This window comes from Homo sapiens, chromosome 1, assembly GCF_000001405.40.
Source record: "Homo sapiens chromosome 1, GRCh38.p14 Primary Assembly".
Taxonomy (NCBI): domain Eukaryota; kingdom Metazoa; phylum Chordata; class Mammalia; order Primates; family Hominidae; genus Homo; species Homo sapiens.
The window spans coordinates 35112664-35129193 of NC_000001.11; the positions used below are offsets into that span (position 1 = coordinate 35112664).

Here is a 16530-nt window from a genome sequence, read left to right on the forward strand (position 1 = left end):
GTTTGTAGATTGTTTAAACAGAAGTATTTTTTTCCTCTGGGTTCTTCTTTTAAAAAAATACTACACAATTTGAGTCATCTGAGCAATAAAAATTATTTTTATGACAATTACATACCAAAAGGTCCTTCAAACATTTAATGCTGAATCTAGATTGCAAATAAATAAGTTATACGTAATTGTTAACGTTTCCCCCTAGTGGAGCTCATACTGTAACTCAGCCATTTATTTTACTATGTTATTAGAGTAGATATATTTGATATTTTAATTAATTTTTGAAAACTGTTAAATGTTCTTTTCTCATTTTCTCCCAAAGCTTTCTAAGAGTTCACCTAGTGAACCCAGTAATGCTGTTGCTAGTAGTAGTACGGAACAGCCAAGCGTTTCACCATCTTCATCAGTATTCAGTCAGCATGCAATTGGTTCCAGTACAGAAGTACAAAAAGACAATATGAAATCTATGAAAATAAGTGATGAACTATGTCACCCAAAATGTACATCCAAAGTACAAAAAGTTAAAGGTAAATCACGAAGTATTAAAAAATCTTGTTGTGCAGATTTTGAGTGTTTGGAAAACAGTAAAAAAGATGTGGCATTCTGTTATTCATGCCAGTTGTTCTGCCAAAAATATTTTAGCTGTGGAAGAGAGTCATTTGCAACCCACGGAACTTCTAATTGGAAAAAAACCCTGGAAAAATTCAGAAAGCATGAAAAAAGTGAAATGCATTTGAAGTCATTGGAATTTTGGAGAGAATACCAATTTTGTGATGGAGCTGTCAGTGACGATTTATCTATTCATTCGAAACAGATTGAGGGAAATAAAAAGTACCTAAAGCTTATAATTGAAAATATTTTATTTCTTGGAAAGCAGTGTTTACCCTTAAGAGGAAACGACCAGTCAGTTTCATCTGTGAATAAAGGCAATTTTTTAGAATTGTTAGAAATGAGAGCAAAAGATAAAGGAGAAGAAACATTTCGACTTATGAATTCACAAGTTGACTTCTATAACAGTACACAAATTCAAAGTGATATTATCGAAATAATAAAGACTGAAATGTTGCAGGATATTGTGAATGAGATCAATGACTCCTCAGCATTTTCAATCATATGTGATGAGACAATCAATAGTGCCATGAAAGAACAGCTTTCAATTTGTGTAAGATACCCACAAAAATCATCAAAGGCTATCTTAATTAAGGAAAGATTCTTGGGTTTTGTTGATACTGAGGAGATGACTGGGACCCACTTACATAGGACTATCAAAACTTATCTGCAGCAAATTGGAGTTGATATGGATAAAATACATGGCCAGGCCTATGATAGCACCACTAATTTGAAGATAAAATTTAATAAAATAGCAGCAGAATTCAAGAAAGAAGAACCAAGAGCTTTATACATACATTGTTATGCACACTTTTTGGATTTATCAATAATTAGGTTTTGTAAAGAAGTAAAAGAACTCCGAAGTGCTCTAAAAACTCTCAGTTCTTTGTTCAACACTATTTGTATGTCTGGGGAAATGTTGGCAAATTTTCGAAACATTTATAGGCTAAGTCAAAACAAAACATGCAAGAAACATATATCACAATCATGTTGGACAGTCCATGATCGTACATTACTATCTGTGATTGACAGTCTTCCAGAGATTATTGAAACATTGGAAGTTATAGCAAGCCATTCTTCAAATACAAGTTTCGCCGATGAATTGAGTCATTTGCTGACATTGGTTTCCAAATTTGAATTTGTCTTTTGTTTGAAATTCCTGTATCGAGTGCTGAGTGTTACAGGAATTCTTTCCAAAGAGCTTCAAAATAAAACCATAGACATTTTTTCTTTGTCTTCAAAAATAGAAGCAATTTTGGAATGTTTATCATCTGAAAGAAATGACGTATACTTTAAAACAATCTGGGATGGAACAGAGGAAATATGTCAAAAAATAACCTGTAAAGGTTTTAAAGTTGAAAAACCTTCTCTTCAGAAAAGAAGAAAAATTCAGAAATCAGTAGATCTTGGCAATTCAGATAATATGTTTTTTCCTACTTCAACAGAAGAACAATATAAAATTAATATCTATTACCAAGGATTAGATACTATATTACAAAATTTAAAGTTATGTTTTTCGGAGTTTGATTATTGCAAAATAAAGCAAATTTCAGAACTGTTATTTAAATGGAATGAACCATTAAATGAAACAACAGCAAAACATGTTCAGGAATTTTATAAACTTGATGAGGACATTATCCCAGAACTTAGATTTTATCGACATTATGCAAAGCTTAACTTTGTCATAGATGATAGTTGCATAAACTTCGTCAGTCTCGGCTGTTTGTTTATTCAGCATGGTCTTCACAGTAATATTCCTTGTCTCTCAAAGCTATTATATATTGCTTTGTCTTGGCCAATTACTTCAGCAAGTACTGAGAACTCATTTTCTACCCTGCCTCGTCTTAAGACATATTTATGTAATACCATGGGACAAGAGAAGCTTACTGGCCCAGCCCTAATGGCTGTTGAGCAGGAGTTGGTAAATAAACTAATGGAGCCTGAAAGACTCAATGAAATTGTGGAAAAGTTTATCAGTCAGATGAAAGAAATATAATACATGCTCATTTGAACTTACCTAAAAGACTTGTATTTCCATTGGGATGTTTTCATTTCAAAATTGTTCAAAATTCAAAAGACACAGAACGATAAACAGTGAAGTCTCCTTCCCTCCTTTAGAACTCATTTTCTCTTCCCAAAAAGTGTTATCTTTTCCTTAAATATCCCTCTAGAGGTATTTTTCCTAAGTGGTATTGTACGGTGTATACTGTTCTTCAGCTTGTCTTCTCTGTGTAACATATTTTTGAGATTGTCCCATGTCGTTACATGAAGAGTTTCTTGATTCTTGGTCTATAATTGCAGATGTTATTGTATGAATGTACCATAATATATTTGAGCAGTCCCTGCTGACATTTTTTTCCTAACCTTTTGCTATTATAAATAATGATTCATTTTATAACCTTTTATATAGGTCACATTGCACATGAGTGAGTTTACTGTAAGCTGGAAATCTAAAGTTAGAATTACTAGGTTAAGATATGTGCATTTTTACTTTTGATAGATATTGGCAAGTTGCCATCTATAAGGATTGTGCCAGTTTACAGTCCCACCCACAATGCATGAGAGTGCCTATTAAATCTTTGTAAGTGTTATCAAATGTTTTGATCTTTCCTAATCTCTTACTTTAAAAATGGCGTTTTAATCTCAGTAGAATTTTGTATATTCACTTAAGAATAAGGTTGGGGACTGGGCGTGGTGGTTCACACCTATAATCTCAGCCCTTTGAGGGCCTACACAGGAAGGAAGATCGCTTGAGGCCACGAGTTCAAGATGAGGTTGGCAACATAGTAAGACCTCATCACTACAATTTTTTTTTTTTTAAATTAGTGAAGTGTGGTACTGCACACCCGAAGTCCCAGCTACTTGGGAGGCTGAGGCAGGAGGATTGCTTAAGCCCAGAAATTTGAGGCTGCAGTGAGCCATGATTGCACCACTATGCTCCAGAGTCTAGGCAACAGAGTGAGACCTTATCTCTTTAAAACAAACAAGAATGAAGTTAGGTATCTGTTTATTTGTTTGAGCCATTTGTATTTCCTTTTTTGTAGACTGTCCTGTTTAAACGTTAAAATCACTGCTGTGGTTTTGATTTATACATCTCAGCTGGATGGCACAATAAATTATTAAGCCATGTTATGAAAATATAACTATATTTAAGTAACCTGCAAAGAAAAGACTATTTCTTTATACTTCAAAAAAGTTTTGTTTTTGTTTTGAGATGGAGTTTTGCTCTTGTTGCCCAGACTGGAGTGCAATGGTATGATCTCGGCTCACTGCAACCTCCGCCTCCCAGGTTCAAGTGATTGTCCTGCCTCAGCCTCCCAAGTAGCTGGGATGACAGGCGCACGCCACCACGCCTGGCTAATTTTTGTATTTTTAGTAGAGATGGGGTTTCACCATGTTAGCCAGGCTGGTCTTGAACTCCTGACGTCAGGTAATACGCCCACCTGGGCCTCCCAAAGTGCTGGGATTATGGCATAAGCCACCACGCCCAGCCAGAAAAGTTTAAATAACAAAGAAAATGTGATATTCAAAGATTTGAAAGAATTAAGTGGTATATATATCTAGGCCTGGAATTTTTTTTTTTTTTTTTTTTTTTTTTGAGACGGAGTCTCGCTCTGTCGCCCAGGCGGGAGTGCTGTGGCGCGATCTCCGCTCACTGCAAGCTCCGCCTTCCGGGTTCACGCCATTCTCCTGCCTCAGCCTCCCGAGTAGCTGGGACTACAGGCGCCCGCCACTGTGCCCGGCTAATTTTTTGTATTTTTAGTAGAGACGGGGTTTCACCGTGGTCTCGATCTCCTGACCTCGTGATCCGCCCGCCTCGGCCTCCCAAAGTGCTGGGATTACAGGCGTGAGCCACCGCGCCCGGCCTTTTTTTTTTTTTTAAAGACTATTTCTCTGGCACTTTTCTCCAGCTGTTTCTCCCTTACCCTCTCATCAATTTTGATAACTTGTACTTTTTCTAGGAGAACATCTATTTCATTGAGGCTTTCTTTCAAATGCATTTGCCTAGAGTTGTAGAAAATATTCTCAGTATCTTCTATATACCTGTTTTACTTTCTTTCTTTCATTTTTTAAGACGGAGTCTCGCTCTGTTGCCCAGGCTGGAGTGTACGGTGGCGTGATATTGGCTCACTGCAACCTCCACCTCGCGGGTTCAAGTGATTCTCCTGCCTCAGCTTCCCAAGTATATGGGATTACAGGTGCCCACCACCACGCCTGGCTCATTTTTTTGTATTTTTAGTAGAGATGGGGTTTCACCATGTTGGCCAGGCTGGTCTCGAACTCCTGACCTCAGGTGATCCACCCACCTTGGCCTCCCAAAGTGCTGGGATTACAGGCATAAGCCACCATGCCCGGCCCTAATTTATTGATTTCCACCTTAAAAAAGAGAAAACAGGCCTGGCGCAGTGGCTCACACTTGTAATCACAGTACTTTGGGAGGCCGAGGCGGGCAGATCACTTGAGGTCGGGAGTTCAAGACCAGCCTGACTAACATGGAGAAACCCCGTCTCTACTAAAACTATAAAATTAGCCGGGCGTGGTGGCACATGCCTGTAATACCAGCTACTCGGGAGGCTGAGACGGGAGAATAGCTTGAACCCCAAAGGCTGTGGTTGCAGTGAGCTGAGATCGTGCAATTGCACTCTAGTCTGGGCAACAAGAGAGAAACTCCGTTTCAAAAAAGAGAGAAAATAGGCTGGGGACGGTAGCTCACGCCTATAATCCCAACACTTTGGGAGGCTAAGGCAGGCGGATCACAAGGTCAAGAATTCAAGACCAGCCTGGCCAACATGGTGAAACCCCATCTCTACTAAAAATACAAAAAAAATGAGCCAGGTGTGGTGGTGGGTGCCTGTAATTCCAGCTACTCAGGAGGCTAAGGCAGGAGAATCACTTGAACCCAGGAGGCAGAGGTTGCAGTGAGCCAAGATCGTGCCATTGCACTCCAGCCTGGGCGACAAGAGTGAAACTCCGTCTCAAAAAAAAAAAAAAAAAAGAAAATAGAAGTTAACTCTAGTATTGAATGTGTGTTGCATATATTTTCATTCTTTTAATGGAAGTGCTTAAGGCTATGAACTTTCCTCTAAAGTCAGCTTGGTCAACCATGTGTTTTTTCATTTTCATCATTTTCTAGCTGTTTTTAGTTGTAGTTTCTATCTTGTCATAAAATCAAGAAGTTGGGCCAGGCATGGTGGCTCACGCCTGTAATCCCAGCACTTTGGGAGGCCGAGGTGGGCGGATCACGAGGTCAGGAGATCGAGACCATGGTGAAACCCCGTCTCTACTAAAAAAAATTAGCCAGGCGCAGTGGTGGGTGCCTGTAGTCCCAGCTACTGGGGAGGCTGAGGCAGGAGAATGGCGTGAACCCGGGAGGCGGAGCTTGCAGTGAGCCGGGATCGCACCACAGCACTCCAGCCTGGGCCACAGAGCAAGACTCCATCTCAAAAAAAAAATCGAGGTTGGTGTTCTTGTTTTCATTTTCAAGTGTTTGTTTTCTATTCTTGTAGTCTATTATACAGCCAATAATGTAAAAAATAAACTTACATTAAGTATAACAGCTATCTTGGTTGAATGCCTATTAGCCTATTAAGTAACCTAGTACTTCCCTCAGTGTTTTACATATATTATTTCATTTAGTTCTCATAACAACCTATTATTTTACAGAAGAAACTAAAAAAACACATTATGGATTACACAACTAATAGGGGTGAAACTGGATTTGTACCCAGGTAGTCTGACTCCAAAGCCCATGCTGTCAATCACCATGCTCTACTACCTCTTAGACAACCATTATCACTTATAAATATTCCTAAATAAAAGATTATCAGAAGTCCATTAAAAAATAGATGGCTGGGCATGGTGGCTCACACCTGTAATCCCAATACTTTGGGAGGCCGAGGCAGGTGGATCACCTGAGGCCACGAGTTCAAGACCAGTCTGACCAATATGGTGAGACCCCATCTCTACTAAAAATACAAAAAAATGAGCCAGGCATGGTGGTGCACACCTGTATTCCCAGCTACTTGGGAGGCTGAGACGGGAATCGCTTGAACGTGAGAGGCAGAGGTTGCAGTGAGCCAAGATTGCGCTACTGCACTCCAGCCTAGGCAACAGAGTGAGACTCTGTCACAGAAAAAAAAAAAAGTCAGAAATAGTTGTGTCATTTTTGTTAATCTCCCCAAATCCCTTCATAAAAACAGCAACTAGGAGAGTTAAAGCAGAAATCCATGCACAGCATCTACTGCTAATCTTTGTGACAAGGTATCTCCACAATCCCAAAATATGATCAGATAGTGACAAAAGCAGCTATAAGATCTGCTTGGGACATCTGTGTGGAAAGCCGTGGAGGAAAGGCAATGGGACATCTGATGGCATTAAGAATAGGAGAGCCCTCAAGTCAACATGTTTTCACTGGAAAGCATGGTAGGCCAAAAATAAAATTTAAAAAATTGGAACCAGGTGTGGTACCTCACGCCTGTAATCCCAACTGTTTGGGAGGCAGAGACAGTGAATCACCTGAGGTCAGGAGTTTGAAACCAGCCAGGCCAACTGGTGAAACCCCATCTCTACTAATAATACAAAAATGAGCCAGGCGTGGTGGTGGCAGGCACCTGTAATCCAAGTTACTTGGGAGGCTGAGGCAGGAGAATCGCTTGAACCCAGGAGGTGAAGGTTGGAGTGAGCTGAGATCCTGCCACTGCACTCCAGCCTGGGCAACAGAACCAATGAGACTCCCATCTCAAAAAAAAAAAAAAAAATTCTAGCAACAGTCAAAACACAGAAGGTTTCTATAGACTCCAATTTGCCCGTGAGTTTGTGGGGATGGTGCTAAGTTCTGAAGATGTAGTGGTCTAGGTTCTCATGAACTCTTGAAACTAACAAATTTGAGCTTCATTCCAAAACAAAACCCCTCTGAGGTTGTAGATTCCAAATTGAGCAGGACAGTGACAATAAGAGGTAAAAGAAAGAAAAGGTATAGACAGAAGTGAGAGAGAAGCAGAGGAAACATCTCAAAGTATTAGGCTATTTTAGTCACTTTCTGAAAATAATAGAACTTCATGAGCCTTGAGGCTAGAAAAGCTATTCTGTCGTGTCTCTCCCAATAAGTACAGGAAAATGCATTTCACGTGAAAGTAAGCAACAGAAAAAGATTATGAAATATAATACAAAATTGCATAGAAAACAGCAAAGTAAATCCCTACCAAACAGGTGAAAATTAACATGATGTTTCAAAACAAGCTAAAAGCGCCTGGGCAACATAGTGAGACCCCGTCTCTGCAAAAAATAAAAAAAGCTGGACGTGGTGGCTCGCACCTGTAGTCCCAGCTACTTAGAAGGCAAACGTGGGAGGATTGCTTGAGCCCAGGAGGTCGAGGCTGTAGTGAGCTGTGACTGTACCACTGCACTCCAGCCTGGATGATAGAGTAAGACACTGTCTCAATAAATAAATTTTTAAAAATATGGGGCCGGAGCGATGGCCTGGGTCTGGAGCCCGCGGCCTCCACCGCCCACAATAACAACAACGTGTAGGGAGCAGCCGCGGCCAGAGCCGGAGCAGGGGCCAGAGTTGCGGCTAGAGTAGGGCCTGCGCGTTTGAGTGACTGAGAGTTGCCCCTGCCTGAGACCTCAAACTCCAGGCGGAAGCGCTATCGGTTGGCTGAGCAGCCGTAGCCCGCCGCACGGCGACCCCCAGGCCCAGACAGCGGGGCGGAGGTCTCGTAGGCGCGGGACTGGCTTCTCTCAGGATGAGCCCTTAGAGCCGGGCTCCGGATCTTTCTCAGCCTCGGGCCCCTTTCACTTTCAGGACAGAGGCCAGAGAACGGTGATCATCACACACCCCAGCCGGCTTCCTGGCCTGGGCATTTTCTCCGCGGCCAAGCAGTGTTGGGGTTGTAGCTGCTGGGAGCTCCCTCCTGCCGCCACCTCTTCTGCTAGGAAGGGACTGACGCGTTCCCACGTTCTTGCTCTGCACCTCCCCACTCTTCCCACTCAAGAATAAGTTTCTCGGCCGGGCGCGGTGGCTCACACCTGTAATCCCAGCACTTTGGGAGGCCGAGGCAGGCGAATCACGAGGTCAGGAGATCGAGACCATACTGGCCAACACAGTGAAACCCCGTCTCTACTAAAAATACAAAAACATTAGCCGGGCGTGGTGGCAGGCGCCTGTAGTCCCAGCTACTCAGGAGGCTGAGGCAGGAGAATGGTGTGAACCAGGGAGGCGGAGCTTGCAGTGAGTGGAGATCGTGCCACTGCACTCCAGCCTGGGCGACAGAGCGAGACTCCGTCTCAAAGAAAAAATAAATAAATAAATAAATAAATAAGTTTCTCTTCCCTCTCCATTGAAAATTCTGCCCCGGAGGTCCAAAACATCTATTTTGTGTGCCCTTCCCCAGCTCCTGGAGCAGCACCCTTAGAAGTATTGCCTACTCATCAGGGCTGAGAATCCTTCATTTTTGACTTGGCTTTTTTCGCCCTTTGGGAGATAAAGGTCCCTTTCCACCCTCTTTACTAACGCTCTGCCCACCAGCCCTTATCCTTGGGGTCATCAGCTCCTTGGCCATTTCTATGTGACTTCCCCCACCCATCTGAGTTCCAGCTTCCTCTGGGCTCCAATCTCCAGTCCCTGGCGGAGTGACTAGGGGGCTCTGGCCCAGGATCCCCAACCCTGGAAGGCAGCTCTAACGCAGGAAGAGAATTGGGCGTCGGGTGCGCACCTGGCAGCTCAGGAGTCGGGGCTCCACTCACCCCACACAAGAAGATGAAAATGCCCAAAGAGCTCAATGTATTGATTGGTTTGGCTGGGGACAGCCAGAGAAAGAAGCCCAAGCAGTCACCGCCTGCTTCGCCCTGAGCCTCCTGACTTAGACTCTGAGTCCAGCTCCAAGGAGGAAGAGGAATTCGGTGTGGTTGGAAATCGCTCTCGCTTTGCCAAGGGAGGCTATTGACGATGCTGCAAGATCTGCTATCCGCTCTGTGGTTTTGTCACCCTCTCTGCCTGTGTTGTGGCCTGTGTTGGCTTGGTGTGGATGCAGGTTGCTCTCAAGGAGGATCTGGATGCCCTCAAGGAAAAATTTCGAACAATGGAATCTAATCAGAAAAGCTCATTCCAGGAAATCCCCAAACTTAATGAAGAACTATTCAGCAAGCAAAAAAAACTTGAGAAGATTGAATCTGGAGAGATGAGTTTGAACAAAGTCTGGATAAACATCACGGAAATGAATAAGCAGTGCAGGGTCGGGTCATGAGTGGCCAGAGCCTATCCTGGCAGCGTAGAGTGCAAAGCGGGAACCAATCCTGGACAGGAAGCCATCCCATCGCAGGGCTTACTCATACACACGCTCACACTCAGACTGGGACCATTTACGCATGCCAACTAACCAAACATGCACAGTTTTGTGATGTGGGAGTACCTGGAGAAAACCCACGCCAACATGGGGAGAACATGCAAACAGACAGTGGCCCGGCCAGGAGTCAGATTTTTTTCTCCTCAATGTTATAACCAAATGACGTTGAACAAAACATTATTCAAGGACCTGCTGTAAATAGGAAAGTTTACTTCTGTCCTAGGGCTTCATCTATGAAGCTGGAAGAGATTGCACTGAAACCCTTTCCATTTCAGCATCAACATGCCTTCAAAGATTCTGGGACTGACTTATGAAGCCAGCCTGATAACAGAGGACTTCTCTGCGAGCACAGGTCCAGAAGCATGGGTGGTGGGAAAGCAGAAACTTGTGTTGTTTCCTAAGGGAGCTCTCTGAGTGGTTTTCTAAAATTAATGTTACACATCTCTGATGGTCTATTCAAGTCAGAGGCATCTGTCCTAAACCAAAATAGGTAGAAAAATAAAAGTATCTGGGCATGGTGGCTCACGCCTGTAATCCCAGCACTTTGGCAGGCCGAGGTGGGCAGATCACCCAAGGTCAGGAGTTTGAGACCAGCCTGGCCAACAGGGCAAAACCCTCATCTACTAAAAATAAAAAAAATTAGCCAGGCCTGGTGGCATGTACCTGTAATCCCAGATACTCCAGAGGCTGAGGCACGAGAATTGCTTGAACCCAGCGGCAGAGTTCGGCAGTGAGCCGAGATCACGCCACTGCACTCCAGCCTGGGTGACAGAGCAAGACTCCATCTCAATTTAAAAAAATTAATTCATTAATTAAAACATAAAAGTAATATTTAACCATAAAAAAAAAATTTTTTAAATTGTCCATTTCTCCATCTCAAAAAAATAAAAAATTCTAATTTTCCTTTTGATTCCTCCTTTATGAGTTATTTAAATGTATATTGATTATGAAGGGATACTGAAATCTCCAAACTTAATTATGAACTTCTCTATTTTTCCTGCAGTTCTAGCAGTTTTGGCTTTGTGTATTTTGAATCTTTATTAAGTGTGCAGTGTTTAGAACAGGTATGTCTTTTTGTTTATTTGTTTTTTGAGATGGAGTCTCACTCTATCGCCCACGCTGGAGTGCAGTGGCACAATCTTGGCTCACTGCAACCTCCACCTCCTGGGTTCAAGCGATTCTCCTGCCTCAGCTTCCTGAGTAGCTGGGATTACAGGCACGCACCGTCACGCCCAGCTAAATTTTGTATTTTTAGTAGAGATGGGGTTTCACCATGTTGGCTAGGTTGGTCTCGAACTCCTGACCTCAGGTGATCCACCCACCCACCTCAGCCTCCCAAATGCTGGGATAACAGGCGTGAGCCACTGCGCCCAGCCAACATTATTATTATTATTTGGAGACAGGGTCTTGCTCTATCACCCATCCTGGAGTACAGAGGCATGATCATGGCTCACTGCAGCCTCAACCTTCTGGACTCAAGTGATCCTCCCTTCTCAGCCTCCTATCTAGGTCTATAGGCATGTGCCACCATGCCTGGCTAATTTTTAAACTTTTGTAAAGACGGGGTCTCACTGGGTTGCATCGGCTAGCCTCAAAGTCCTGGCCTCACGTAATCCTCCCACCTTGGCCTCCCAAAACATGGGATTATAGGTATGAGCCACTGTCCCCTATTATAAGGGTACACACCTAATTATTATATTATCAAAATATAAGCCTATTTTAATTTATGTCTATTTTTATATTTAAGGTGGCCTTTATGTAGGTGGCATATGATTGGGTCTTTTTTTATTCAGTATGATCTGACAATCTTTGGTTTTTCATTGGGGTATTTAGACCATTTATATCTAATGTGGCCAGGCATGGTGGCTCATGCCTGTAATCCCAGGACTTCAGGAGGCCAAGGTGGGCAGATCCCTTGAGCTCAGGAGTTCAAGACTGTCCTGGGCAACATAGTGAGATCTAGTCTCTGCAAAAAAAATAAGCAAAAAATTATCTGGGTGTGGTGGCATGCACTGTAGTCCCACCTACTTGGGAGGCTAAGGTGGGAGGGTCGCTTGAGCTTGGGAGGTCAAGGCTGCAGTGAGCCAAGATTGTGTCACTGCACTCCAGCCTGGGTGACAGAGCAAGATGCTGTCCCAAAAAAAAAAATGTGGTTATTAATATGATCAAGTTCAAATCTACCATCTTTTTTTTTTTGAGACGGAGTTTCACTCTTATCACCCAAGCTGGAGTGCAATGGTGTGGTCTCGGCTCACTGCAACCTCTGCCTCAGCCTCCTGAGTAGCTGGGATTATAGGCATGCACCACAAATCCCAGCTAATTTTGTGGTTTTTTAGTAGAGATGGGGTTTCACTATGTTGGCCAGTCTGGACTTGAACTCCTGACCTCAGGTGATCTGCCTGCCTCAGCCTCCCAAAGTGCGAGATTACAGGCGTAAGCCACTGCACCTGGCTCAAATCTACCATTTTACTATTTGTTTTCTATTCGACCAATGTGTCTTTGTTCCCCTTTCTCTCTCTCTCTCTCTCTCTCTTTTTTTTTTTTTTTCCTTTCTGGCCGGGCACGATGGCTCAAGCCTGTAATCCCAGCACTTTCGGAGGCTGAGGCGGGTGGATCATGAGGTCAAGAGATCAAGACCATCCTGGCCAACATGGTGAAACCCCCCGTCTCTACTAAAACTACAAAAAATTAGCTGGGCGTGGTGGCGTGTGCCTGTAGTCCCAGCTACTTGGGAGGCTGAGGCAGGAGAATCACTTGAACCCGGGAGACGGAGGTTGCAGTGAGCTGAGATTGTGGCACTGTACTCCAGCCTAGTGACAGAGCGAGACTCCATCTCCAAAAATAAATAAATATATTTATCGCCTTTCTTATCATTAGTATAACACTTCATTTTGTTTGTTTGTTTGTTTTATAAGTGGTTGCTTTCAGGTATGTAGTATACATATTCACCTTCAATTGATATTACACTACTTCACGTATAGGATGAGACTCCTGTACCAATATACTTCCACTTCTGCCGTCCCAACTTTTGAACTCATCATACAATACTTCTACATATGTTATAACTCCCATAACTCATTTTTTTTGCTTTAAGCAATTATCTTTTAAAGACATGTAAATAATTTTTTAAATAGTCTTTTATGTTAACCCTCATAGTTACTTTTTTTTTTAAATTGAGACAGTCTCACTCTGTTCCCCAGGCTGGAGTGCAGTGGCTCAATCTCGGCTCACTGCAACCTCCATTTCCTGGGCTCAAGTGATCCTCCTGCCTCAGCCTCCCAAGTAGCTGGGACTATAGGCATGTGCCACCATGCTGGGCTAATTTTTTTTTTTTTTGAGACGGAGTCCCACTCTGTCACCAGGCTGCAGTGCAGTGGCGTGATCTCAGCTCACTGCAACCTCTGCCTCCCAGATTCAAGCAATTCTCCTGCCTCAGCCTCCTGAGTAACTAGGATTACAATCATGAGCTACCACGCTCAGCTACTTTGTGTATTTTTAGTAGAGACAGAGTTTTGCCATATTGGTCAGGCTGGTCTTGAACTCCTGACCTCAGGTTATCTGCCCGCCTCGGCCTCCCAAAGTGCTAGGAATACAGGCTTGAGCCACTGCAAATGGCCTGCATTTTGTTTTGAAAGATATTTTTGCTGGGTATAGAATTAGAGGTTAATAGTTGTTTTCTTTTCTTTCAGTACTTTGAAGGAGTTTACTACCTCTGCTTGCATTATTTTCTTTAAGAACTTGGCTGTCATTCTTATCTTTATTCTCTACATGCTGTGCCTTTTTTCTCTGTCTGCTTTTTCTATTTCTTTTTTTTTTTGGAAACGGAGCTTTGCTCTTATCGCCCAGGCTAGAGTACAATAGCACGATATCGGCTCACTGCAACCTCTGCCTCCCAGGTTCAAGCGATTCTCCTGCCTCAGCCTCCCAAGTAGCTGGGATGACAGGTGCTAGCCACCACACCTGGCTAATTTTGTATTTTTAGTAGAGACAGGGTTTCACCATGTTGGCCAGACTGGTCTTGAGCTCCTGACCTCAGATGATCCATCTGGCTGCTTATTAAAAAAATACCGTTTCCATTCACAGTATGTAAAAGAAGAACTGAAATGTCCTGGGGAAGTAGATGCTTCAAATCTCCCTGTCCACTGGTTCCAGGGCCTGGGGAAGTTCTTTCTTTGTTTAAATCTCAGCTCTTCCTGTTGCCTATGATATTCCTTATTGTTCAGTCCTCTAAGGAGGCTGTACAGCAGTTCTGTATCCCCTTTTCTTTGTTTAATATAATATCCTTTCAGAGATAAAATGACAATTCCATTTCCCCCCAACCTGTTTTTGGAGACAGAGTCTTGCTCTGTCACCCAGGCTGGAGTGCCGTGGTGCAATCTTGGCTTATTGCAACCTCTGCCTCCCAAGCTCAAGCAATTCTCATGCCTCAGCCTCCCAAGTAGCTGGGACTATAGGCTCATGCCACAACACCTGGCTAATTTTTATATTTTTAGTAGAGACAGGGTTTTGCCATGTTGCTTAGGCTGGTCTTGAACTCCTGACCTCAAGTGATCCACCCTGCTAGACCTCCCAAAGTGCTGGGATTACAGGCATGAGCCACTGCACCTGGCCAGAAAGCTCATTTTTAGAAGGTTGTGAAGTCTCATGTCCTATAAAGACAAAATAGAGGAGGAAGGGAGAAAACAACAAACAAAGAACAATCCTGAAAAATCAATATAGGCCACAATACTCTGAAGTCAATACATCAGTAGGCAGGTATGAAAGCTGCTTATCTATGTAAATAGGTTGTTGTTATTTTCTTCTGAAATTTAAGTTGTCTAGCTTCAGTTCGCAGGGCTTTAAGAAAGCACAGCTTAGGCCAGGCTCAGTGACTCACGTCTGTAATCCTAGCACTTTGGGAGGTTGAGGTGGGCAGATCACCTAAGGTTGGGAGTTCACAACCAGCCTGACAAACATGGAGAAACTCCATCTCTACTAAAAATACAAAATTAGCTGGGCATGGTGGTGCATGCCTGTAATCCCAGTTACTCGGGAGGCTAAGGCAGGAGAATCGTTTGAACTTGGGAGGCGGAGGTTGCGGTGAGCCGAGATCGTGCCATTGCACTCCAGCCTGGGCAACAAGAGCGAAACTCTCTCAAAAAAGAAAAGAAAAGAAAGCACAGCTTGATTTTCAGTGACTCCAAATTAGGGAAAATGGAGAAAAAGGAGGAGAAAAAAAATTAAAAATAATATTTTGCAGGCTCGTAGCCAAGACAATTAGAATTCGGTCCAAAGTGTAGAAAAAAATAAAAATTGGTAAACATTAGGCAAGACTAGAATCTAACAACAGGTGTACTAAAGTTTTTGAAACATAATTTTTCTCTCTCCAGTTTCCCATTTTTACTAAAGACAAATCATGGTAGGACTGATTTGCTTTATTATACTTGGCCTGATTATTTGTATACACTGCAGCAAGAACAATTATTTTTTTCCATAGGCTTTTAAAGTGGCTTTGATGGAACTTTGTTCAGTAGAAGGAATCTCAGATAAGACTTTTTTAAAGGTGAGCCCAGCCATGCATTTGTATCATCAAATACCTACGAGTTGGGTGAATTCGTCTCCTCTGAGGTTCCAAGATATATCTGGGGCTCCTGGGCCTGTCAGAAAGTGACATTCTTTACTTACCACAGGTCAGGAACCCTGTACAGGGACTGTGTAGATGAAAGTATGAGGCCAGTTTTTTCCAAGGGGCTTTTATTGGCTACATAAGTCACGTTCAATTCCTTAAAGGAAAGCACACCATTCAAGTCAAAGCCTTGGTAAAATATCCAGTTTCTCCAACTGTGTCCTGTTACAAATGAAAACAGATTTTTTTTTTTTTTGAGATGGAGTCTTGCACTGTCGCCCAGGCTGGAGTGCAGTGGCACGATCTCGGCTCACTGCAAGCTCCACCTCCCCGGTTCATGCCATCCTCCTGCCTCAGCCTCCCAAGTAGCTGGGACTACAGTCACCCGCCACTGCACCTGGCTAATTTTTTGTATTTTTAGTAGAGACAGGGTTTCACCATAGCCAGGATGGTCTCGATCTTCTGACCTCATGATTTGCCCGCCTCAGCCTCCCAAAGTGCTGGGATTACAGGCATGAGCCACCACACCCAGTCAAAAACAGATTCTTATTGCACTTATGCAAACAATTGTATTGTCATAAGTTAAGAATACTCACAAATAGTTTCCAAATTCTGTAGAAATCAGGTAGAGAGAGACAAATATGCTCCTAATTTTGTTCATAGGAGTATACTTTACTCGATTGTTAAAAGCTGTAAATAGCTTAAAAGAAAAATTTTACTACTATGAAAAAAAAAAGAATCAGCAACGTTTTTTGTTTGGTTGGTTTTTTTTGTTTTTTGTTTTTTGTTTTTGAGGTGAAGTTTTGCTCTTATTGCCCAGGCTAGAGTGCAGTGGCACAATCTCGGCTCACTGCAACCTCCACCTTCCAGTTTCAAGAGATTCTCCTGCTGGGATTACAGGTGTGAGCCAATGCACCCAGCCATCACACACACATCTTGGATGTTAGCTTTTAATTAAGCTGACTTTTAACCATTGAGCTC

At 42.9% G+C, this 16530-nt stretch overlaps 1 protein-coding gene and 1 pseudogene across 20 annotated transcripts in view, besides 2 other annotated features; both read left to right on the top strand.

The window, feature by feature from the left end:
- ZMYM1 (zinc finger MYM-type containing 1) overlaps window positions 1-6155 on the top strand; it is a 59033-nt gene extending 52878 nt beyond the window's left edge. For 15 of the 20 annotated variants that reach the window (NM_001289088.2, XM_047430777.1, XM_047430783.1 and 12 more), the window contains one exon: window positions 314-3196. In NM_001289088.2, the coding sequence (NP_001276017.1) occupies window positions 314-2596 (2283 nt within the window). In that variant the 3' untranslated portion in view covers window positions 2597-3196. Of the gene's footprint in view, window positions 1-313 lie in introns of all 20 variants that reach the window. The other 5 variants (XM_047430815.1, XM_047430816.1, XM_047430818.1 and 2 more) reach the window with 1 other exon arrangement.
- Window positions 8311-8430: an enhancer, noted in NCBI's record as "active region_722". NCBI's record gives its function as "activates an Ori minimal core promoter by ATAC-STARR-seq in GM12878 lymphoblastoid cells {active_cell/tissue: GM12878}" and the evidence as "EXISTENCE:reporter gene assay evidence [ECO:0000049][PMID:35858748]".
- EFCAB14P1 (EF-hand calcium binding domain 14 pseudogene 1) lies at window positions 9159-9827 on the top strand (annotated as a pseudogene).
- Window positions 15908-16087: a silencer, noted in NCBI's record as "fragment chr1:35594172-35594351 (GRCh37/hg19 assembly coordinates)". NCBI's record gives its function as "represses an EF-1alpha promoter that drives an FKBP-Casp9 reporter gene in an ReSE screen in K562 erythroleukemia cells {active_cell/tissue: K562}" and the evidence as "EXISTENCE:reporter gene assay evidence [ECO:0000049][PMID:32094911]".